At 50.1% G+C, this 23939-nt stretch overlaps 1 protein-coding gene and 1 long non-coding RNA gene across 11 annotated transcripts in view, besides 2 other annotated features; one reads left to right on the top strand and one right to left on the bottom strand.

Moving 5' to 3' along the window:
* The window catches only part of CPT1A (carnitine palmitoyltransferase 1A), an 89658-nt gene that overhangs the window by 58886 nt on the left and 6833 nt on the right, over positions 1-23939 (top strand). For 8 of the 9 annotated variants that reach the window (NM_001031847.3, NM_001440360.1, NM_001440363.1 and 5 more), the window contains 7 exons: positions 382-577; positions 3433-3621; positions 4647-4752; positions 9960-10076; positions 11963-12127; positions 22631-22765; positions 23705-23857. In NM_001031847.3, coding sequence (NP_001027017.1) covers positions 382-577; positions 3433-3621; positions 4647-4752; positions 9960-10076; positions 11963-12127; positions 22631-22765; positions 23705-23857 — 1061 coding nt within the window. The remainder of the gene's footprint in view (positions 1-381; positions 578-3432; positions 3622-4646; positions 4753-9959; positions 10077-11962; positions 12128-22630; positions 22766-23704; positions 23858-23939) is intronic. The other variant, NM_001440364.1, reaches the window with a different exon arrangement.
* Positions 2626-3825: an enhancer, noted in NCBI's record as "BRD4-independent group 4 enhancer chr11:68549035-68550234 (GRCh37/hg19 assembly coordinates)". NCBI's record gives its function as "activates an origin of replication core promoter dependent on BRD2, P300/CBP, MED14 and CDK7 cofactors, and independent of BRD4, by STARR-seq in HCT116 cells {active_cell/tissue: HCT116}" and the evidence as "EXISTENCE:reporter gene assay evidence [ECO:0000049][PMID:35650434]".
* On the bottom strand, positions 20164-22061 carry LOC124902699 (uncharacterized). Of its 2 annotated transcripts, XR_007062751.1 has the most exons (3): positions 21918-22061; positions 21491-21568; positions 20164-20735 (listed from the first exon to the last, which is right to left on the bottom strand). It is a non-coding gene; the product is annotated as an uncharacterized LOC124902699 (long non-coding RNA). The 2 variants fall into 2 exon arrangements; XR_007062750.1 differs by lacking the exon at positions 21918-22061 and having other exon boundaries at positions 21491-21645.
* Positions 21050-21852: an enhancer, noted in NCBI's record as "H3K4me1 hESC enhancer chr11:68531008-68531810 (GRCh37/hg19 assembly coordinates)". NCBI's record gives its function as "activates a minimal SCP1, AML or CMV promoter by ChIP-STARR-seq in naive H9 embryonic stem cells {active_cell/tissue: H9 hESC(naive)}" and the evidence as "EXISTENCE:reporter gene assay evidence [ECO:0000049][PMID:30033119]".

Here is a 23939-nt window from a genome sequence, read left to right as displayed (position 1 = left end):
GCAAGATTTCACCATGTTGACCAGGCTGGTCTCGAACTCCTGACCTCAAACGATCCTCTCACCTCACCCAATGTGCTGGGATTACAGGCGTGAGCCACCACTCCCAGCCTCCCACTGCGCCTGGCCTCGGGTAATTTGTTTGAGGTCATAATCTAATGAGTGACTAAGCTGAGCTCAGAAGTCAGGCCTCTCCGATCCAGAGCTTTAACTCCAAGCTGTCCTTAATCATTTAAAACGTCTTGAGGAATAGGTTCCTGAGGCTGCCTGGAGAGACGCAGAGCAGGGACTCCCATGCCCTTTGCAGAGTCAGGGTACGGTCGTCTCAGCACGTGCTGAACTTGGGACTCTTGGTTTTGTGTCTCCAACCTGCGGCCGGCTCAGACACCATCCAGCACATGAGAGACAGCAAGCACATCGTCGTGTACCATCGAGGACGCTACTTCAAGGTCTGGCTCTACCATGATGGGCGGCTGCTGAAGCCCCGGGAGATGGAGCAGCAGATGCAGAGGATCCTGGACAATACCTCGGAGCCTCAGCCCGGGGAGGCCAGGCTGGCAGCCCTCACCGCAGGAGACAGGTGCGCAGCCTAGGTCCCTTGTCCTGTTTTGGGGGGTGGTGGAGGCGCTCTTCCTCACTGGGGCCCATCCCCACCAGGGCCTGTGGGAATCCTGGCACGGGACTCCCCACCTCGGCTCTGTTTTTCTCTGGGGTCTCCCGGCTTGGCAGGTCTCAAGAGCAATGGGGACATGGTGGGGGGTCCCTGGCCACCCCTGTGTGTGTGTCAGGCAAATGTGTGTGGAAACACTCCAGAGTCCAGGACAGGGAGAAGTGAGGATTAGAATTAGGCTTTTTTTTTTTGAGACGAAGTCTCGCTCTGTCACCCAGGCTGGAATGCAATGGCACTGTCTCAGCTCACAGCAACCTCCGCCTCCCAGGTTCAAGCAGTTCTCCTGCCTCAACCTCTCCAGTAGCTGGGAGTGCGCCACCATGCCTAGTAGAGACAGGGTTTCACCATGTTGGCCAGGCTGGTCTCAAACTCCTGACCTCAAGTGATCCACCCACCTTGGCCTCCCAAAGTTCTGGGATTACAGGCATGAACCATATGCCTGGCCAGGATTAGCCTTTCTTACGGGGCTGTGGGCATATTTATTAATTTAGGAAACAGAACAAATGGAAACCAAGGCCCCTGTGTTAGGGTTACATTTCCTTGCCTCAGTGAAAAAGAATCAGGCCGGGCGCAGTGGCTCACGCCTATAATTCCATTGCTTTAGGAGACCAAGGCAGGAGGGTCACTTGAGCCTAGGGGTTTGAGATGTGCCTGGGCAACAGAGTGAGACCCCATCTCTACCAAAAAATTAGCCAGGCTTGGTGGTGCGTGCCTGTAGTCCAAGCTATTCAGGAGGCTAAGGCAGGAGGATTGCTTGAGCCCAGGAAGTTGAGGTTGCAGTAAGCCATGATCAAGGCACTGCACTCCAGCCTGGGTGACAGAGTGAGACTGTGTCTCAAAACATAAAAAAGAAAGCGAATCAGCCCGAGCTTGGTTTTCTCGCAGGTGTGGTGTGTATTGTATAGGAGGGTTTCTCACCTCAGAGCTGTGCACACTCAGGGCCGGGTACCTCTTTGTGGGGGGCACTGCCCTGTGTAGCGTTGGATGCTGAGCAGCAGCCCTGGCCTCTGCCCACCGACTGCCAGCAGCAACCTGTGTGACAACCAGAAGTGTCGCAGACATTGCCCAGCATCAGGGGGACACTGTTGTCCCCAGCTGAGAGCTGCTGCGTTCCAGCAGTGTGACAACTGCTACGCTATCGCTGGGAGTAAGGCGGGAGGGGCAGGTGTTGGGGCCCCTTCTGCAAAGATCAGGAGAGGTTCTGTGCTGCGTGGAGGGGCCGCAGGTGGGCTGTGTCTTGCAGAGGGTGGGAGCAGACCAGGAGGACAGTGGGTGTCCAGGGGGTGGAGCCGCATGCCCCGGGGTAGCAGAGCAGGCAGGAGCCGTGGAGTGGGCTGGGCAGCTGGGCCACGGTGCCAAGCTGGGGAGGGTCCCAGGCACCCAATCATATTTGAGCTTGATTCTGCAACTGGGTGCCGCTTCAGGTGGTGTAGGGTGGGGTGGGGCCGGGGGTGCATGAGTAGGTTAATGTGGGAGATTCTTCTGGTTGGGCAGGGAGGAGGGGCCCTGGACACAGGGATGCTTTTCGGTGGCCCAAGTAGTGAGGGCCTGAAAGAGGGCCAGGCCTGGGAGCAGGAGCGGGATGGAGGAGGATGTGTGCGGGCAAGCCGGCGTTGTTCGGTATCTGCTGTGGTGTTGACAAGGCTGGAAAGAGCGGCGGCAGGAGATGCATCTCGGGTGAAGATGCGCTCATCCGATGCCCTCCTCTCAGAGCCTGGAATCCCCAGCGGAGGAGACGTGGGGAGCCTGAGCCGGCGCCGCGGGGCCTGGGCTCCCTGTGGGTCTGTAGGCGCCTCGGTCCCGATGCCCCCTCTGGATAGGGCCAGATCAGCATCTTACCCATGGGAGTCATTCACAGGAAGGGCTCCGTACGTGCCGGCCACCGTCAGCGTCACCTTTGTTCCCCGAGCGGGGTGCACTGAGGCCTAGCGTGTTTCTAGGCTTATTCGCCCTGCGGGCCGCCATAGCCAAGCACTCCTAGAGAGAAGAAGGTGGGGAGAGAGCCAGATGGCCCCGATCTGGAAGGGTGGGCAGTGGCAGAGGGTCCTGGAGGAGCTGGAGTGAGAGGGACCCGGGAGCACTCGAGGAAGCCCAGCTGGTGGGTCTTCCAAGAAGGAAGTGGGCATCACACCAGTTCTGTGTATTCAAATAAGACGGGCACGGAGACCTCCTTGTGGAGGGGTCACATGGGCATCTGTGGAATGCACCTGGGGGCTGATGGCCTGGGTTCCGACTCTGCCTCAAAATAGCTGTGACCTAATCTTTCCGTGCTTCAGTTTTCTCATCTGAAAAATAGGTACAGTAGCATTGAGAAGATCAGTAAGTTGGTACACAGAAAAGGTTTGGAGCAGAGCCTGGCATGAGGGACGCACTCTTACGCACTTACTGTGACCTGGGCTGCCGGAACTTACCTAGGGTGGTTCCTGTAGAGGGGAGGGAGGGTGTGTCAGGGAGCGTGGAACAGGGTGATCTGGGTCTGCTGCTTCCTGGCGGCTTTGCCCACGGGGCCAGCCTGCAATCTGGCCGTTCATTTAGTCAGCATTTATTGAACAAAAAATACCCACCGCTCCCCATGCTGTGGTCTGGAGACCAGGAGCAGGTGAGAGTCCTTCCAGCAAACAGTCTCAGATGGGGAACATCATCAACATGGAGTTTTCCTTCGAGAAATTCTGAAAAACTGCAAAGGTTTGATTGTGTCATTTCAAACATCACGCTCCATCGCTGCAGGTCGGGCTGCCTTTAATCGTATTTCATCTTCACTGCAGAGTTCCCTGGGCCAGGTGTCGTCAGGCCTATTTTGGACGTGGGAAAAATAAGCAGTCTCTTGATGCTGTGGAGAAAGCAGCGTTCTTTGTGACGTTAGATGAAACTGAAGAAGGATACAGAAGTGAAGACCCGGATACGTCAATGGACAGCTACGCCAAATCTCTACTACACGGCCGATGTTACGACAGGTACCGTCCTTACCTTCTGAGAGACAGGAGTTTGCCCATGAGCTTGGAAGAAATACCCTGTGTGCCTGACACTCACCCCTAAGTATCTATAATGCTAAGAAAGAAGGTGGCATAAAAATATAACCTTCAGTTTTATTTTATTTTATTTTTTGAAATGGAGTCTTGCTCTGTCACCCAGGCTGGAGTGCAGTGGCTTGATCTCGGCTCACTGCAACCTCCACCTCCCAGGTTCAAGCGATTCTCCTCCTTCAGCCTCCCAAGTAGCTGGGATTACAGGCGTGTGCCACCACGCCTGGCTAATTTTTGTATTTTTAGTAGAGACAGGATTTCACCATGTTGGCCAGGCTGGTTATGAACTCCTGATCTCAAGTGATCCACCCACCTCAGCCTCTCAAAGTGCTGAGATTACAGATGTGAGCCACTGCGCCTGGCCAACCTTCAGTTTTCTTCCCTCTGCCAAAACTATCACACATACACAGCCTGAGCTGCAAATCTGAGATTCTTCCCTCCTCTGTGCATGACCACCTTTGTTTGGAGATGCTCATGAGATGCAGGGCTGCCAGGTCCCTGGACTCAGGCAGGGGAGAGTGGCAAACAGGGCTAGGCACAGGGTTAGGCCAGGGTGTTGGCATGTGGCTATCTCAAGTCCTCTTTTTCTTATCTGTAAAGTGTTGGCCAGCCCCGCCCCCTGCAGGGTGGAGCCAAGGATTGGCTGATGAAGGGGTCATGTGCCCACGGGAAGAGCCTCCCACCTCTCCCCAGTTGCCTTGCGATAACAACAGGTCCTGACTTCAGGCTGCCAGGATATAAGCGCTCATCTTTGTGTCTGGGACAGGGAAGAAATGAGTGATTCAGTGTCCTGTTTGTACTTTCACCCTCACTCCACAGAGACTGAGTGTCTGCTCACTGTTAGAGGGACAGGTGCAAAGTGAATTAGTCCATCCAGGATGAAGCAGAGAGGTGCAATGTCTCCTCATTGTTGCCTCTTTAAACACTTAAGTTCCACACATGTGTGTTTCACGTAGGTGGTTTGACAAGTCGTTCACGTTTGTTGTCTTCAAAAACGGGAAGATGGGCCTCAACGCTGAACACTCCTGGGCAGATGCGCCGATCGTGGCCCACCTTTGGGAGGTGAGTTTTCACACTTTTCACTTGAATGTGGAAGTTGCTTTTGAAAATCCAAACCTGGCCAGGCGCAGTGGCGCACACCTGTAATCCCAGCACTTTGGGAGGCCGAGGCGGGCAGATCACCTGAGGTCAGGAGTTCAAGACCAGCCTGGCCAACATGGTGAAACCCCGTCTCTACTAAAAATACAAAAATTAGCCGGGCATGGTGGTGCATGCCTGTAGCCCCAGCTACTTGGGAGGCTGAGGCAGAAGAAATCGATTGAACCCGGGAGACAGAGGTTGCAGTGAGCCGAGATCGTGCCACTGCACTCCGGCCTGGGCGACAGAGCGAGACTCTGTCTCAAAAAGAAAAAACAAAAAAGATAATCCAAACCCCACAGTCAATTTAGTTTTGTAATATTTGCGTGATTATAGAATATGAATTTTTCACTTGTACTAGTAATGCACATGAAGTTAAATCACTAGATTAAAGGCATCCCTGTCTTCCTTTCCCATAACTTAGGTCCCTTGAACAGCAGTGCATCTCCTGCCATCTCCTTAGGGAACAAAAGAGTGAAATGGCAGTTGACTCTCAGGCCGCAGCTTCACAGCAGAAGTGAAGCTCGGTTTTTCCTGGAATAAACTATCCCTTATGTGCTGGATTTCCTAGTGTTTCCTACCTACCGCATTTTTTAGGCCAAATAGAAGCAAGCATGTGAAAATCTGGGTTTATAAACATGCAGCGTGTCTTTTACCTAAGACATCATTTTAATTCTTAAAATTACCAGGTTATTTGAAAACCACAAACCCCTGTCCCCCTGCCTGCACCTGTGGATTGGCCTCTACCATTGTTTTTTTTTTTTTTTTTGAGACAGGGTCTTACTCTGTCACCCAGACTGGAGTGCAGTGGCACAATCATAGCTCACTGTAGCCTTGACCGCCCAGGCTCAAGACATTCTCCCACCCCAGCCTCCCAAGTAGCTGGGACTACAGGTGTGTGCCACCATGCCCAGCTAATTTTTGTATTTTTTGTAGAAACAAGGTTTCCCCATGTTGCCCAGGCTGGTCTTGAACTCCTGGGCACAGGGGATCTGCCTGCCTGGGCCTCCCAAAGTGCTGGGATTACAGATGGGAGCCACCACACTCAGCCTTTTTTTTTTTTTTTTTTTTTTAATAATTCGTTACTCTGAACTGTTTGACCTGTTCCGTGTTTGGCATGAGAAATTAAATGAAAGTTTTGTTTCCTTAACTCACCGGTCAGGTTCTTGTTTAAAGTTGCTAAATTCTAGGATCATCATCCGTAGACTTGACACAGAAAATACTGTGGTCACTTGTTGTGATGAGACTTGAGATCTTTTTCTTTTAAAGCAACAAGCCCCTTTGAGATTCACATTGACTATAAAGACCATCTTTTTGCAGTGTTTTAAATTTTCCTGCTGGCCTAATAAATGAAGTGGAATAAAATGACCTGAAAGTCACGGCGTGTGTGGGAGACAGGGCCCAGCTGCAGGCTGAGCACCTCGCTGTTCTTGATAGGGCATGGAGCCGGGTTTGTGTGTCTGAAATTAGAAATTAGTAGTGGCCAGGCGCGGTGGCTCACGCCTGTAATCCCAGCCCTTTGGGAGGCCGAGGCAGGCGGATCACGAGGTCAGGAGAACGAGACCATCCTGGCTAACACGGTGAAACCCCGTCTCTACTAAAAATACAAAAATTAGCCGGGCGTGGTGGCTGGCACCTGTAGTCCCAGCTACTCAGGAGGCTGAGGCAGGAGAATGGCGTGAACCCGGGAGGCAGAGCTTGCAGTGAGCCGAGATCACGCCACTGCACTCCAGCCTGGACGAAAGAGTGAGACTCCATCTCAAAAAAAAAAGAAAGAAATTAGTAGTAAACTTGTGAAGACATCATAATGTATGACCTTCTTTTTTCTTTAAACTTCTGTGAATGTTTTGAATTTTGACTTTTTTTTTTGAGATGGCGTCTTGTTCTGTCACCCAGGCTGGTGTGCAGTGGTGCGATTTCAGCTCACTGCCACCTCTGCCTCCCCGGTTCAAGTGATTCTCCTGCCTCAGCCTCCCGAGTAGCTGGGATTATAGGCACATGCCACCATGCCCGGATAATTTTTATATATATATAAACCTGACCTCAAGTGATCCACCCGCCTTGGCCTCTCAAAGTGCTGGGATTATGGCATGAGCCACCACGCCTGGCCTTGACGTTTCTTTTTATAATATTGTGTCTGTCTATTTTTCCCCCAAGAGATAAACAAATTCTGGTGCCAGTTTTTTCTTGCAAAGTCTTCGCACTCACTCTCCTCTCTGCCTGGAAGGCTTTTCCCCCTGGCTTCCCCTGGCTCCTGGCCCCGTCAGGTCTTCCTTAGGTCTCAGCTGACCTCACTTCCCCTAGGAATGGCACTGCCCTGCTACCCTCTCCCAAGACTAGGTTAGGGGCTCCTGTCTCATCTTCCTCTACCTCTTTTAATTGTCTTACTTCTGGTTGGAGTCTTGGCAAAACCTCCAGCCACTCCTTCAGCCAAGGGAGGTTTTCTATGTAGGAAAAAGGATAAAAAGGAAAAAAAAAAACATAGTGCTCTAGGCTTTAAGACACCAGTATGACCCTAGGACATTAATACCTGATAAAAAGCAGCCAATATTAAAAGGGCTTTTCACCACCACCAGGGTTCTTTGGCGATGTCGACAAAAGCTGAGAGAGCCTTTTAGCTACAGAGCGCATTGAAGATCAAGCTGCCTTCAGTGTCTCTGGACGTAGCAAGAAGGCACGCTTTAATAAATCTCTGCACAGCATAATAGCCCGGGCTTGTTATACCCCAGGCCAAGGACTTCCCGAGTCCTATATGCCTAAGAGCTGTTGTTTGGCAAAAGAAAAAGAGTCGGGACCATAGGCAGCTGGATCACACAGGGTACATTTATCAAGTAGAGAAATCTACTGGATATTTACAAGATCAGGCTTGTTTTTTAAAGTTCTCTGGATAAGGATAAAGGGATTTTATCTTAGACCAGGGTGGGCACGTAGAAGTAGTGGTGTTTAGTTGTTAGCGTCCAGCAGACAGGATGGCCTGACTCCAGGGACCCCTGGCTGGGGGCTTATGTGATCCATACACAGATGGGGACTGACCTAGTCTCACATGGGGGCCCAGTGCAGTCCCTTAAAGACAGATCTAGTCAAACTTGAGTCTGTTTGTTCTTGTTCTTGTTCTATTTTTATTTTTTATTTTTTGAGACAGGGTCTTGCTCTGCCACCCAGGCTGGAGGGCAGTGGTGCAATCTCAGCTCACTGCAACCTCCAACTCCTGGGTTCAAGTAATTTTCCCACCTCAGCCTCCCGAGTAGCTGGGACCACAGGTGTGCGCCACCACGCCCAGCTGATTTTTGTATTTTTTGTAGAGACGGGGTTTTGCCACATTGCCCAGGCTGGTCTCGAACTCCTGGCTTCAAACAATCTGCCTGCCTCAGCCTCCCAACATGCTGGGATTACTAACATGAGCCACCACACCCGGTCTTGCTCTTGATTTATTTCTGATGTTTCTGTGTCAGGCTCTTCTGGAGCTCTGACCCAGAGCAGGTGGAACCTGATCAAGTCTGTTCGTTCGCTGGCTCAGGTCAGCCTGGATTGTGACCCCCACGTATTAGCGGCACCTTCCACCCGCCCCGCCGCCTCGCCAGCCGACAGTCACCCCGACCTTGTGTTGTTGTTTTTACCTCCCTCACTAGAATGTAAGCTTCCTGAGCACAGGGATTCCTCTTTTAAAAAAACTTAATTTTTTTAGTTGAGATATAAGTCACATACCTTAAAATCCACCCTTTAAAAGTGTACAATTCAGTGGTTTTTAGTATATTCACGAGGTGCTTGTGCAACAGTCACTGCTTAGCCTCCCGAGTAGCTGGGATTACAGGCGTGCATCGCCACACCCACCTAATTTTTGTATTTTTGGTAGAGGCGGGGTTTCCCCTTGTTGGCCAGCTTGGTCTCGAACTCCTGACCTAAAGTGATCTACCCGCCTTGGCCTCCCAAAGTGCTAGGATTACAGTCGTGAGTCACAGAGCCCAGCCTAATTCTGTACTATTTTTATCACCTCCAAAAGAAATCCCTCATTCCTTTCTCCCCCAGGTTCCTGATGACCACTAATCTTTCTGTGTGTATGTATGTGCCTATTTTGGACATCTTATATAGATAGAATCATACAATATGTGGTCTTCTATGTCTGGCTTCTTTTTTCTTTTCTTTCGCTTTCTTTTCTTTCTTTTCTAGAGACAGGGTCTTGCTCTGTCGCTCAGGCTGGAGTGCAGTGGCACAGTCATGACTCATTGAAACCATGACCTCCTGGGCTCAGGTGATCTTCCCACCTCAGCCTCCTCAGTAACTGGGACTACAGCCATGTGCCACCACACCTGGCTAATTTTTAAAATTTCTTGTAGAGATAAGATCTCACTATGTTGCCCAGCTGGTTTGGAACTCCTGGCCTCCAGCAATCCTCCCACCTTGGCCTCCCAAAGTGCTGGGATTACTGAAGTGAGGCACCGCGCCTGCCTGCTTCTTTTCACTCAGCATAATGTTTTCAAGGTTCAGTACGTTGTAACACATACCTGGAATTCATTCCTTTCTAGGGCTGGATAATATCTCATTGTATGGATTGACCACACTTTGTTTATCTCTTCATCAGTTGATGGGCATTTGTGTTGTTTCCACTCTTTGGCTATTATGAATAATGCTGCTCTGAACATTCTGTACAAGTTTTTGTGTGAGCATCTATTCATTTCATTTCAGTGAGTATGTACCTAGGAGTGGAACTGCTGGGTCATACAGGTATATTTCACTTTTTAAGGAAGGGCAAGAATTCTTGTCTGTTTTGTTCACAAAACACAGTTCTTGTCTGCGCTGTCACCAGGGCTTGGATGCCGCTGATGCTACAGTGGTTCCAACCCATAGTAGGTGCCCAATAAACACCGTTGAATAAATTGGCTTAGGTTTACTTGCCAGTGAAAGGAGAGCGTCACAAACTTGAGCAAGCCCTTAGCCCTCGTCTGTCCTCTCTCTGTCACATCTGACATGGAGATCAGATCCACCTCATTAGGTGCTGAGCATACTGGAAGCCTTAACAGCTGTGATTCAAACTTTGTAACATCTCTGCAAAGAACAACCCTCTCTTCATGTTGGAGGTTAATGTGTTTTATGTACCACTGTTAGTTTTAATAATTTTGTTCTATTTTTGACAGTACGTCATGTCCATTGACAGCCTCCAGCTGGGCTATGCGGAGGATGGGCACTGCAAAGGCGACATCAATCCGAACATTCCGTACCCCACCAGGCTGCAGTGGGACATCCCGGGGGAAGTAAGTCCGGATTATCCAACCATTGTTACTTACCTGGGATGGGAAACACATTTGAAGTCTTACAGATGAATTTTCCAACCGTAGTTCCTGCCCTATCATGAGCTCAGTTGAAGACCACTGAGGCTGAAAGTTGTTTGCTCAGGGAGTTCCGTGGGTCTGCGGGGCTGTCACAGCTCCTGTTGCCTCGGAAGCCTCGGTAAATATTTCTTCTTCTGTTTGAAGCTCCTGGCTAAGACTGTCAGCGCTATTTCCAGCTTAAACTTAACTAGACATCTACAGAATGCTCATAATCAAAAACTAAAAGCCAAAATCACATAGGTTAGAGCTGAAAGCCTCTAAATTGCTCATTTATACTTCTCAAAGTTTAATTCATTTTGGCACCTCTTAAACATGCTCAGAGGCAGCCCATTCACAGGAGCCCTTTTGGGAAGGAATTTTAGGGTTGCAAATACCAAATCCTAGTTCACTTAATCCAAGGAGAAATTCCCTGGAGTCCAAGATACCATTTTCTTTTTCTTTTTTTTTTTTTTTTTTGAGATGTAGTCTCGCACTGTCACCCAGGCTGGAGTGCAATGGCGCGATCTCAGCTCACTGCAACCTCTGCCTCCCAGGTTCAAACGATTCTCCTGCTTCAGCCTCCCAAGTAGCTAGGATTACAGGTGCCTGCCACCATGGTGAAACCCCGTCTCTACTAAAAATACAAAAATTAGCCGGGCATAGTGGTAAGTGCCTGTAGTCCCAGCTACTCCGGAGGCTGAGGCAGGAGAATGGCTTGAACCAGGGAGGCAGAAGGTGCAGTGAGCAGCGATGGTGCCACTGCACTCCAGCCTGGGCAACAGAGGGACACCCTATCTCAAATAAATAAAAATTAATAATAAAAAGTAAAAAAATGTGTTTCTTGATTGCCACTGTGTGATGACGTCATCATAAGATGACGTGTGACTATTTGAAACACCCTTTGGGGTCTCACTGGAAGCCAGGGTGCCCCCGTCCCCTACCCATGTTCCTGTTAGCGTCAGAACATATCTGTACGGGTCTGCAGCAACCTCAATTCTTGCCTTCTCAGAACGAATTTGACTGTGGGGCAGAAGGCAGGAGAGACCAAGTTTAAAAGCGGGAAAGTTTATTTTAAAAACTTTAGGAACGAAAGGAAGGAAAGTACATTTGGAAGAGGGCCAAGCGGCCAACTTGGGAGATTAAGTGCGAGGTTTGACCTCTTGACTTGAGGTTTTATACATTGGCATGCGTCCAGGGTCTTGTGTTACTTCTCCCAATTCCTCCCTTGTTGTGGGCTGTCCGCATGCACAGTGGCTCCAGCGCTTGGGAAGGGAGCATGCGCAGTATGTTTACTGGAGTTGTGCGCATGCTCACTTGAGGTGTTCTGCCCTTGCCTGTCTAGCACTGCTGGAGGAAGCTCATAGTCCAGTTAGACGCCGCCATTTTGCCTCTCAGTGCGCATGCTTCAGCCCACTCGCCCAACGCTTGAGATCTTATCGGGAAGCTGCTGGTCACCAGCTCCATTTCTATCTACTGAGAGACTGCCTTTCCCTGGCACCGGCTGTGACCTATTATTATTTTAGAGAGACAGTTCACAACCACCTGACCATCACTGATGGTCGCGTGATATTCCCAGTGTGTGTCGGAGGAAGCCCTCTCCTGGCCTGCTCATGTCAGACCCGCTACCTGCTATAACATTGCAGCTGCTCCTCCGGGGTCAGGGAGCCATGCCCCTAACTTACTAGGGCTTCTGGGTCAGGAAAACGTTTGTGTACTTCCCAGTACCGAGTTTATAGCTGCACTAAAAACCAGCCTCCAATTTCCTTCTGGGTGTGCGTCAGTACTTTTCTCCCCTCGTTCCGTAAAACCTTTTTCTTCTTTCTCTCAAGTGTCAAGAGGTTATAGAGACCTCCCTGAACACCGCAAATCTTCTGGCAAACGACGTGGATTTCCATTCCTTCCCATTCGTAGCCTTTGGTAAAGGAATCATCAAGAAATGTCGCACGAGCCCAGACGCCTTTGTGCAGCTGGCCCTCCAGCTGGCGCACTACAAGGTAAGAACTGACCGCCTAGGGTTTTGTCGTGAGCACTTTGGGGGTTCCTACACCTGCCCAAGACTGTTCACCCAGTGGGGAGGGAAGGCCCGAAACCCGGCATAGGAGAAGCACAGCTCCCCCCGACCCCGGTCTCCGGGGGCCGGGTGGCGTTGGGTGTTTCACCACGCACGCGGGCAAAGTTCGCAAATCCCCCTCCAGCAGGCGTAGATTCCCAGCTGACACGGGAGAGGGAGAGTCTGGGGGATGAGGACAAAGTGAGATCTCATCACTCTACAGAGGGAGAGTTAAGCCCCATAATAAGCCCCGAATCCTAGCATTTGCTAAAGTGGAAATAGTGTGGGCAGGTAGGGGAATAGTCAGTTACGTATTCGTCTGGCGCTCGGTAAATCTGCACTTCACACAGGTCAGGTGAACATGGTCCACGTTTCATCTGTCGCTCTCTGCTTGGGAACAAAATAAAAAGCTTCTTGCATGACTTAGCTTTCAGCTTAATCCTTTCCTTTTGGCAGAGTAAATCTTCCTTTCACCATACTAAATTAAATTTTGGTATTTTCATACAGTGGAATATTATATAGCTATTAAGTGATGTCTTTGGGCAAATTACTTAACGTCTCTGGCCTTTGACATCTCCTTCCATAAAAGGAGAAACTCCAGCCACTTGGAGGTGCCATGGGCTGGATCCCCTGTATACACATGGCATTTCCATCTCCCTTTTCTGAGCACTGGCCATATTTTGGCTTGCACCTGGCAACCCCTGTTGGAGGAGCAGCCTGCACCCCTAGCAGGGACATAAATGGGTCTTCTTGTCCATTGGAGGGAGCATTCCATCCCAGACAGGGGGCCCTTGGTTTCTGGGGGCAGCACAAGTCATCGTGGCATTGGCTTGAGATATTCCCAACTTTTTTTTTGAGACAGAATCTCACTCTTGTTACCCAGGCTGGAGTGTAATGGCATGATCTCGGCTCACTGCAACCTCCACCTCCCGGGTTCAAGCAGTTCTCCTGCCTCAGCCTCCCGAGTAGCTGGGATTACAGGTGTGCGCCCCCATGCCCAGCTAATTTTTTGTATTTTTAGTAGAGATGGGGTTTCACCATGTTGAGCAGGCTGGTCTCGAGCTCCTGGCTTCAGGTGATCCACCCGCCTTGGCCTCCCAAAGTGCTGGGATTATAGGCGTGAGCCACCGTGCCCAGCCTTGTATTAAAACTTGAGTGCTGTACACATATGCAGCGTGTGGCACTGCCCCCCCAACCTTGGTAACGATTGTGCCATTGTTGAATTTTGCTTGGTGCATCATGTACCTCATGCTTCACTGTCTCTGCACCTGGGAGGCACTCTTGTTATCCCATTTTTAAAAATTTACAAGTCCCCATTATGCCTCAGAAAATCTTGTTTTCCCATTTTACAGGTGAGGAAACAGGTGCAGAGAGGCCAGGTGCTTGCCAGGGTGGCACTAGGCAGGGATAAAGCGGGCCAGCGGCTCCAGAGTCTATGCTCTCTCCACCTAAAGTTAAGAAAACAGTTACAGAGAAGTAAGAGGCAGTGTTAATATCAGATGAACTGGAATGAATGGGCCAAAATCGTATTTAAAATGCATGCTAATACAGTCTGTAAAGACTGTCACAGTTATGAAGCCTTGCTTTCCCAAGTAACATGCTCACTATGCGTAAACCAGAAGCAGCTGGGCAGAGTACCAGGAGCACAGTGACAAGCTCCTGTCTGTGACAGATCATTGACTAAAGATCATGTGATTAAAAGGTGACATGGAATAGAGGCATCGCATCTCAGAATCAGTGAGCTGGATTTTGAGAATTGATGAGCAGATTTTGCCCGTAAACGTGCAGTATGAGGGCATGCAAGCAGTTGATACCTTACCTACAGAAAGGATGTTATTTTATCTTTTTAAATTTTTTTCTTTTTTAAAAGAATTCCCTGCAAGTAAGCGCAGGACTTAGGAGTTTAGTAAGGAAATGCCACGCTCCAGTTTAGTACATTTTGAAACATGCTGAAATGACTATTCTGCAAGCAGTACAAATTGGTGACGTTGACTCAAGGTAGAAAACCTGAAAAGGCCTCTGGTCCAGGGACCAAAGTGAGAGGTTGTCAGGGAGCCACCCTTGTGACTCCAAAGAGCTTGCAGCTCAGAGACTCCACAAAGGAAGCCACCCCATCTGCTCCCCAGAACCCACGTGGCCCAGGTGTGGGAATGAGCTGCAAGGGGCACCAGCCACTGTGCCATGTACTTGGCAGGAGCGAGCGAAACTTCAGGACGGCCCCGAGGAAGGCATCTCTTCATCTCTGCCCTCCACACTCGGAGGTGAAGCATCTTGCCTGAGGGCTCCAGCTCGTACGCAGCAGGACTGAGATCGGAAGCAGGCAGGCTTGTTCGAGAACCTGTGGCTCTCATCACTGTGCTGCAGCTAAACGCAGAAAAAGGAAGCACAGACCAGCTTCCCGCATGAATGGAAGTGCAGAGACCCTCCATAAAATCTTAGCAACTAGAATCCAGCACTGTAGGAAAAGAATAGTCACCCACAGTGGCGTACACCAGCGGTGAGAGGCTGGTTTTGTGTCAGTAAATCCAGTCATACACTAAACCATACTGTTGGGTCAGAGAAGAGCCTAGATAGTGAGTTTCACAGATCCTAAGAAGACGTTTCACGTTTAACATCCATTCCTGATAAGAGCTCTTGGTCAAGGGGCTTAGTAATAGGGCTCTTTCCTTAACAGGATAAGTGGCATCGTGTATTAATAGCTAGCTACTGCTTCAAAGTAAAAGTGTGGGAGGCAGTCCCCTTAAAACAAGAAAGATGAGGATGCCTCTAGCAGATGACAGGGTAATTGGGCAGGAAGAACATTTATGTCTGTTCAGGAGATGGAACAGCAGAAAGGCTTTGACGATTAAGAGGCACACCCAGTGAGCCGGCCCAGCGCAGAGTTGCACAAAGACCACCAGCTTTCTTGCACAAGGATGATGGCCAAGTGGGAAATATAATAAGAGAATGTAATAGAAACGAGAATCTGGGGCCCCACCTTCCAGGCATACGTGTATAAAGCAGACTGGACTCTGGGAAGAAGGCCGAGGAGCACTCGCCCCCCAACTCCTCCCCAGGGAGAGGGAGAAAAAGCCATGATTTTGGATGAAAAAAAACTTCAGAACCATAGAGGAAGGGATGTTCCCAGTTCACACTGTTTTTTTTTTTTTGAGACGGAGCCTTACTCTGTTGCCCAGGCTGGAGTGCAGTGGCACGATCTCGGCTCACTGCAGCCTCGGCTGCTCACTCGGCTCCCAGGTTCAAGTGATTCTCCTGCCTCAGCCCCTCGAGTAGCTGAAACTACAGGTGCCTGCCACCACACCTGGCTAATTTTTGTATCTTTAGTAGAGACGGAGTTTCACCACGTTGGCCAGGCTGGTCTCGAGCTCCTGACCTCAAGTGATCCGCCTGCCTCAGCCTCCCAAAGTGCTGGGATTACAAGCCTGAGCCACCATGCCTGGCTTAGTTCACACATTTAATATGAACACAGTGAGAGGTCAGGCAGGGGCTTCAGGAGAGGAGCTTGCCCAGTTGATCTTGAGGCTTGAAAAGGCTAACATTTGAGAGTCACCTGTAACATTTTTGAAAAGAAAAGCAATCAGGCGGAGGCAGGACACGGGGAGGTGGACATGTACTTTTTCAAATCCTAAAACTTAAAGTGTAGGAGTTAGAAGACTGTTGTGATTAAAGTGGTCTCAGTCCTATAATCCTAGCACTTTGGGTGGCTGAGGCAGGTGGATCACTTGAGTCCAGGAGTTTGAGACCAGACTGGGCAATATGGGGAGACTCTATCTGTACAAAAAATACAAAAAAAAAAAAAAAAAAATTAGCCCAGCATGGTGGCGCATGCCTGTAGTCCAAGGTACTCCGGAGGCTAAGGTGGGAGGATCACTTGAGCCCCGGAGGTGGAGGCTGCAGTGAGCCGTGATCGTGCCACTGCACTACAGCCTGGATGACAGTGAGACCCTATCTTTAAAAAAATTGTTTTTAATAAAAATAAAATGCTGCAGTCCTCGTACAAAAGCAGGCCTGGGAAATAACGTGTAATGGAGGGAGCATTTGACATCAGTAGGGGACGGGGAGCTGGTGAGTAAATGGAGCTGGGAAATCTGGCTAAGTGGTTGCCTTTGGAAAAAAATAATCCAAGAGAAATAAGGAGTCAGACCAGAAACTGTGGTTCACAAGAGAGGAAAAATACGGTCAATGAGTGTAGGTAATAAGCTTAATCTTACCAAGAATCTAACAAGTACAACTTAAACAAGACTAGATTTTTGCCTACGGGGTTGGTAAAGGCTTTTTTTCATGTTGGTGAGGGTGGACTGAGGCAGGGATGTTCATAGAGCAGCTGGGAATAGTTTTAATAAATTTAGGGGCCCCATGGCAGGACTGGGAGCAGCACAGACCACACAGTTGGAAACATGCATCGGGGAAGAATAACTTTGACCCTGCACATGATCCATGAAAAAGGGTAGGTACACAAAAAACACGTGTGAGCAAGCTTACTGTAAAAATGTGAGGAAATCTGGCCAGGCGCAGTGGCTCGTGCCTGTAAACCCAGCACTTTGGGAGGCCTAGGCAGGTGGATCACTTGAGGTCAGGAGTTCGAGACCAGCCTGGACAACATGGTAAAACCCCATCTCTGCTAAAAATACAAGATTAGCTGGGTGGTGGTGCACACCTGTAATCCCAGCTACTTGAGAGGCTGAGGCGGGAGAATCACTTGAACGTGGGAGGTGGAGGTTGCAGTGAGCCGCCAAGACCACGCCACTGCACTCCAACCTGAGCAATAAGAACAAAACTCCGTCTCAAAAAATAAAAAAAGAAGAAGAAGAAATCTTAAAAGTTAATGCTGGCAGGCCGGGCACAGTGGGTCATGCCTGTAATCCCAGCACTTTGGGAGGCTGAGGTGGGCGGATCATGAGGTCAGAAGATCGAGACCATCCTGGCTAACACGATGAAACCCCGTCTCTACTAAAAATACAAAAAATTAGCCGGGCGCGGTGGCGGGCGCCTGTACTCCCAGCTACTCGGGAGGCTGAGGCAGGAGAATGGCGTGAACCCGGGAGGCGGAGCTTCCAGTGAGCCGAGATCGCACCACTGCACTCCAGCCTGGGTGACAGTGCGAGACTCCCTCTCAAAAAAAAAAAAAAAAAAAAAAAAAAAGACTGGAAACTAGAAAGTGTCTGAGACAGGTCTCAATTTATTTAGAAGTTGATTTTGCCAAGGTTAAAGATGCGTGCCTGGGAGACAGGCCTGTGCCTTCCTCCAAAGGTGGTTTTGAGGGCTTCAGTATTTAAAAGGAAAAGCAGGCAGGAGGGGAAGGAAGGGAGGGCGTGGCCACGTTACGGAATTCCCATGATGCAAGAGAAAAGGGGCGGTAGGGGAATCGTCAGTTACATATTTGTTACACAAAACCCGGTGAACCCAGAGTGGAGACATTTCGCCTTTTATCCGTCACTCTGTGCTTGGGAACAAAAGAAAAAGGCAGCTTCTTGCACGAAGCTTTCAGTGTAATCCTTTCCTTTCGGCAGAGTGAATCTTCCTTTCATGATACTAAATTAAAATAGGGTATTTTCACACAGCGGAATATTATATAGCTATTAAGTGATGTCTAAGGCATATATATGTGTATATATATTTTTGAGACAGGGTCTTACTCTTGCCCAGGCTGGAATGCAGTAGCACAATCACGGCTTACTGCATCCTCGACCTCCCTGGGTGCTGGCGATCCTCCCACCTCAGTCTCCCAGGTAGCTGGGACTATAGGCATTTACCACCAGGCCCGTCTAATTTTTATGTTTTTTGTAGAGATGGGGTTTCACCTTGTTTCCCAGGCTGGTCTCAAACTCCTAGGCTCAAGCAATCCTTGGCCTCCCAAAGTGCTGGGATTACAGGTGTGAGCCACCACGCCCAGCCATCTATGGCATATTATACGGAAAAATATTTAGTCATAAAACAGTTTGTGAAAGTCAGGTGTTTCTTACAATGATCTGCAGACTGTGGCTCATAGGCCAAACCTGGCCCTTCAATGTTTTTGTTTTCATTTTTGTTTTCATGGCTTAGAAAGCTAAGAATGGCTTCACATATTTAGTAGTTGAAAAGCAGTCAACAGGCGACCAATACTTTGTGACATGTGAAAATTACGTGAAGTCTCAGTGTTCATCAGTGAAGCGTTCTGGGCACGGCCATGCCCGGCTTTCACATGTTGTCTGTGCTGTTCTCACTCCAGTGGGAGAGCGGAGTAGTCGCCACAGAGAGCACCTGGCCCGCACAGCCTGTTCTGCATTTTACAGAAGTTTCCCAACTCTTGCTTTGTTACATGCAAAGTCTAGAAAGGATAAATGCAAAATATTAGCAGGTGATGTTGTGAAGTTTCCTTTTTCTTTTCTTTTTTTTTTTTTTTCCTCCTTGATAGAGTGTCACTCTGTCACCCAGGCTGGAGTGCCGGGCGTGGTAGTTGACGCCTGTAATCCCAGCAGTTTGGGAGGCCGAGGCGGATGGATCACCTGAGGTCAGAAGTTCGAAACCAGCCTGGCCATCATGGTGAAACCCTGCCTCTACCAAAAAATGCAAAAAATTAGCTGGGCGTGGTGGCAGGTACCTGTAATCCCAGCTGCTTGGGAGGCTGAGGCAGGAGAATCCCTTGAACCTGGGAGGCGGAGGTTATAGTGAGCTGAGATCGCACCACTGCACTCCGGCATGGGCGATAGAGTGAGACTCTGTCTCAAAAAAATAAAAAATAAAATAAAAATGACAGATCCATTAAAGTGATCTATTAAAAGTATACATCAGATTTATTCATTCAAAAATTAACATTCAGACCGATCTCAACCCAGCTGGGAGCTGCAGAGCCTCCCTGTGGTTTTACATAAATCCAGAACCTTGCTGTGGCCCTGTGGGTCTCTTCTAAGCTTCTGAACCTTTTTTCTGCCCTGGACCCCTTGGGCAGCCTAGGAGAGCCTGGGGACCCCTTCTCAGGGGTCCTTCAAGGTTATACACAATATAACCTTGTGTTATATTGACCCCTTGAAGGGGTCCTTCAAGGTTATGCACAATAACCTTGTGTATTTCATTTTATAAAGCATAACCCCAGCACTTTGGGAGGCTGAGACAGGTGGATCACTTGAGGTCAGGAGTTTGTGACCAGCCTGGCCAACATGGGGAAACGCGTCTCTACTAAAAATACAAAAATTATCCAGGTATGGCAGCACGCATCTCTAATCCCAGCTACTCAGGAGGCTGAGGCATGAGAATTGCTTGAACCCGGTAGGCAGAGGTTGCAGTAAGCCAAGATCACACCACTGCACTCCAGCCTGGGCGACAGAGTGAGACTGTCTCCAAAAAAAAAAAAAGGTAGCCCCTCCCGCATTGTTCTGTTCCCTAGTTCCCTGTTCCTGTGTTATTTCTATTCAGTGGCCTGACTTGATGTGATAGAATTTTTTTGTTCATCCCTGTCTCCTGCTAGAATGTTTGCTCATTGAGGGCAAAGGCATGATCTGTCTTACAACAGTATTGCCTGTGCCGGGAGCATCAGTAAATCAGTATTGAATATTGAATATGGATTGAATGCTGACACTAGACAGTGGTATTAATTCTAGTCTGCAGCAGTTATTTGCCTCCTGCTTTGGAAGCCCTACCAACCTGAATCATTAGCCCCATAGTAACAGTGCTAGTGTGTGATGCCATATATGTCAGTATATCTATAGACTGTCTTTGAATCCTGCTTCTTAGAAACTGGAGATGTTTTGGTGGCAGCGAAGGGCCATCCTCCTGATGGCGGCTGGTCACAGTGGGTCAAGGGTGCTGCAGTTGTAACCTGGTTTGGCTCTTTGATGGCGTCTGAGCTCCAGTGGGGCTTGCACACTAATATTCAATGCATTTGCCAAGAAGTTTTTTAGATGGCTGTCTTTTAAACTGTGGGCACAAGGCATGACTGTTCTCATAACTTACACAATTAAAGTTTGATATTGGAACATTGATTTCAAATGAATCATTGCATCATATAGTTCAAGTTTACCTTTATTAAATAACTAAAATGCCACATTTCCGCTTTCCCTTTTATCTGCTTCTCTCCCTCTCCCCACTTCTTCATTGTGAGCGCCTATGAAGTGCTCTGTAGTGAGGAGATGCGGGAAGGGCTCTGAAAGGCGCGTTTGCTATCAGCATGGGAAGCAGGAGGCCCCGTGGCCTCATGGCAGGCCCCAGGCCTGTGACCCCCGCTCCCAAGGGAATCTTGAGTGTCGTGTCATGCCACCAGGGTTGGTGGCATCTGTGGGTTGGGGAAGAGAGCTCCCCAAGGCGGCCAGCTACGTTGGGGGGATCCTGGGGGCTCAGCCAGGTCCTCACTGCAAGTGCTGCTTAGCGCTGGTGTCCAGCGTGCTCCCACGGTCTCTAGACGCTTCCCTCTGCAAAGCCGCTGCTCTTGTCGACGCCTTCAGTTTCCTTTTTCTGCTGGCTGATGCACTCTCATTTCACTGGTTCTGGACGCTTCCTTCTGCCTTTCAGGGGCCCTGGTCCTGGACGCTACCTTCTGCCTTTCAGGGGCCTCCTCTCCTCCAGAGATCTTGGCTGCACTGTGAGGAGCCTGACTTCAGCTGGGCCTGTGTGCAGGTGCCAGGCCTTCCCCGGCTGAGCGGGTCCTGTGCTCTGTCTGACTCTCCGTTCCCCAGCTGAGTGGGTCCTGTGCTCTGTCCGGCTCCCCGTTCCCCAGCTGAGTGGGTCCTGTGCTCTGTCCGGCTTCCCCTTCCCCAGGCTGAGCAGGCCCTGTGCTCAGCCCAGCCTTGCCTCTGGCACCCTCTTCTGGGTTCATTTGACAGTATCAGCCTGCCACATGGTGTCCTTTGCAGATGGGTGGGTCTGCCACCCTGGGGCCACCAGGGCCTGTGCCAGGGTGCACACTAATGTGCAGGGATGTGTCTGGTCAGGAATCATTTGGGTCCATAAACTGCTGCTTATCACCTTCTCGTCCCCACTTGGAACCTGGTCCTCTTTGAGCTGGCCTGGTGGCCCCGGGCCCCTTCTTGGGGCAGCACGCAGATGCTGTTCCTCCCACAGCCGCGTGCTGCCTTGGACTCAGTCTCTGTCCTTATCCACCATCTGCTATTCCCAGCAGGGGCCCTTGCTGCACTATCCCGTCATCTCCACCAAGGCTCAGCCTCAGGGGCATCAGCCCCTCCTGCCGTGCTGTCCTCTCTAGGCCCAGATGCCCACGTTCCTTGACCCCATCCCCTTGTCCCTCCCTGCCCTCCCTTTTCTATTCTCTGGGTGTGGGTTCCATGGTTCTTTGGGATCATCCCTTACCTTGACTCCCTGGTCCCCCTGAACTTACCTGGGGAGCCTGCAGAGGCTCCCGGGTTCAGCCCAGCTCTCCAGCTGCTGTGATTCTGTTCCCAAGGCACCAGCCTAGCTGGAAAAAAAGCATTCAACAGCTGGCTCGTCTCCCCTCCCCACGAGTGAGCGCTGACCGCAGTGGGCCAGGCACCATGTTTCCATGCCCCTGAATGCCACATCACACCCCTCTCCCGCTGCCAGCACCTCCTCTCCAGCCTGGCCCTCAGCAGGCCCGCTTTCTTCTGCTTCACCCAGAAAACAGGAGCTTTTGGAAGAGACCTTCCCTGTGCATCTGCCAGCCCACCCGAGGCTTCCTGTCTAATGGGGCAGTGGCTGTGCTTCAGGCTCCGGCCCCACCCACTTCCCGCCCTCCTGCTAGACATTCTTCCTGCACCCCAGCACAGTCTCTCCCAGATCATTCTCACCATCTTCCAGACGCAGTGGAATTGCTCCAGGCAATACGTTGTGTCTTTAAATCATTTCAAACACAGATCCCCTGCTGTGCACGGCATTCCTTCTGTACACTGCTGCAGGCTGCACCTTAGCCTGAAGGGAATGCAGCAGAGGTGTGTTGGACTCGGGGGTGGGGGGGGTGTCATAGTATCAGTTGCATCTTGAAACAGAAACCTGGTTAACCTAGAAACTGACCCACCTCCACCAGGCCCTTCCTGAAGCCAGTGACACCTGTCTGCTGCCACGTCACTACCCACATGTAAAAGCGGCCAGAGACTGAAAATATGATTCGACAATAGGCTGGGCACAGTGGCTCACACCTGTAATCCCAGCACTTTGGGAAGCCAAGGCGGGTGGATCGCTTGAGCCAGGAGTTTAAGACCAGCCTGGGCAATGTGGTGAAACCCTGTCTCTACAAAAAAAATTTTAAAAAAATTAGCATGCACCTGTAGTCCCAGCTACTCAGGAGGCTGAGGTGGGGGGATCACCGGAGCAGGGGGAGGTTGAAGCTGCAGTGAGCTGTGATCATGCTACTGCATGCCAGCCTGGGCAACAGCAAGACCCCGTCTCAAAAAAATGTTGACAATGAAGTCCACGTCTCCTTGCCAATCTTACCCAATCCTTCCTTACGTTTTAGACATATCAGCATGCCCTGCCGTGCACTGAAGTACTTCTCTTTCCCCAGGACATGGGCAAGTTTTGCCTCACATACGAGGCCTCCATGACCCGGCTCTTCCGAGAGGGGAGGACGGAGACCGTGCGCTCCTGCACCACTGAGTCATGCGACTTCGTGCGGGCCATGGTGGACCCGGCCCAGACGGTAATGTGCCATCAGGCTGAGGACACAACGTGCTTGTCACACTTCCCTAAAAGGCTTCTGGAGGCCATCACTCCAGCTTCTCTGATCTCATCATTCCTGTACCTTCTTCTTTAGGGGTGCTCAATTCAGCTTCTTTCCTCTGCCCCTTTCAAGGGTACAGAAGGTATTAAAATATTAAAAGGTAAAGGTAGGGACAAGGACAGAGACGCATGTTACAAATGATACTTCTCCAAATCATATTCTACTTCCTGAGAGTCTTTAAATTAGGCCAGGACACACAATGAGGAAAGGCATAGCAGGTGGCTGCTTTGGAACTGAACAGGTGGTTGGTGTCAGGGTAGGTGAGCTGTGACTGTCGCACGGGACCTTCCATTGGTTATTAGAGCCATTGCCACGCTGGGCCCCAAGTGCCAGGCTGGGGCCTGGGGGTTTTCTGTACATTGTCCTTTAAATTTTCTTAGCAGTGGTCCTGAGAAGTGTCATCAGTTCATTTCCATAGATAAAGAAACAGAGGCCTAGATGAATTCAGCAGCTGCTGGGCCATTCTGCTCACTAATGGCCGAGGTCAGACCCAGGCCACTGGGTCCGCCTGACTCCAGCGTGCAGGTGCTTTCTGCTGATCCCCAGAGCGTGCAGGTGCTTTCCGCTGATCCCCAGAGGAGACACTGGCCAGGGCTCTTTTTTCCGAGACAAACTTCATTCTGGAAAGGCTGTCAGACCGGGCGCGGTGACTCACGCCTGTAATCCCAGTACTTTGGGAGGATGAGGTGGGCGGATTGCCTGAGCTCAGGAGTTCGAAACCACCCTGGGCAACATGTTGAAACCCCGTCTCTACTAAAAATAACAAAAAATATTAGCCGGGTGCGGTGGCTAACTTAGATCCGTAACTGCTCAACTTGAGACATGCAACATATGTCCTTCCCACCTTTTGTCACTCAGGTGGAACAGAGGCTGAAGTTGTTCAAGTTGGCGTCTGAGAAGCATCAGCATATGTATCGCCTCGCCATGACCGGCTCTGGGATCGATCGTCACCTCTTCTGCCTTTACGTGGTGTCTAAATATCTCGCTGTGGAGTCCCCTTTCCTTAAGGAAGTAAGTCTCTTCCACTTCTTCCGTCAGTTGTATTGGCTAGACCAAAACTTAGTAAATTACTACAGCCTTGCATGAACATATT

Source organism: Homo sapiens, chromosome 11, assembly GCF_000001405.40.
Source record: "Homo sapiens chromosome 11, GRCh38.p14 Primary Assembly".
NCBI lineage: Eukaryota > Metazoa > Chordata > Mammalia > Primates > Hominidae > Homo > Homo sapiens.
This window is presented reverse-complemented; position numbering and strand designations above follow the sequence as displayed.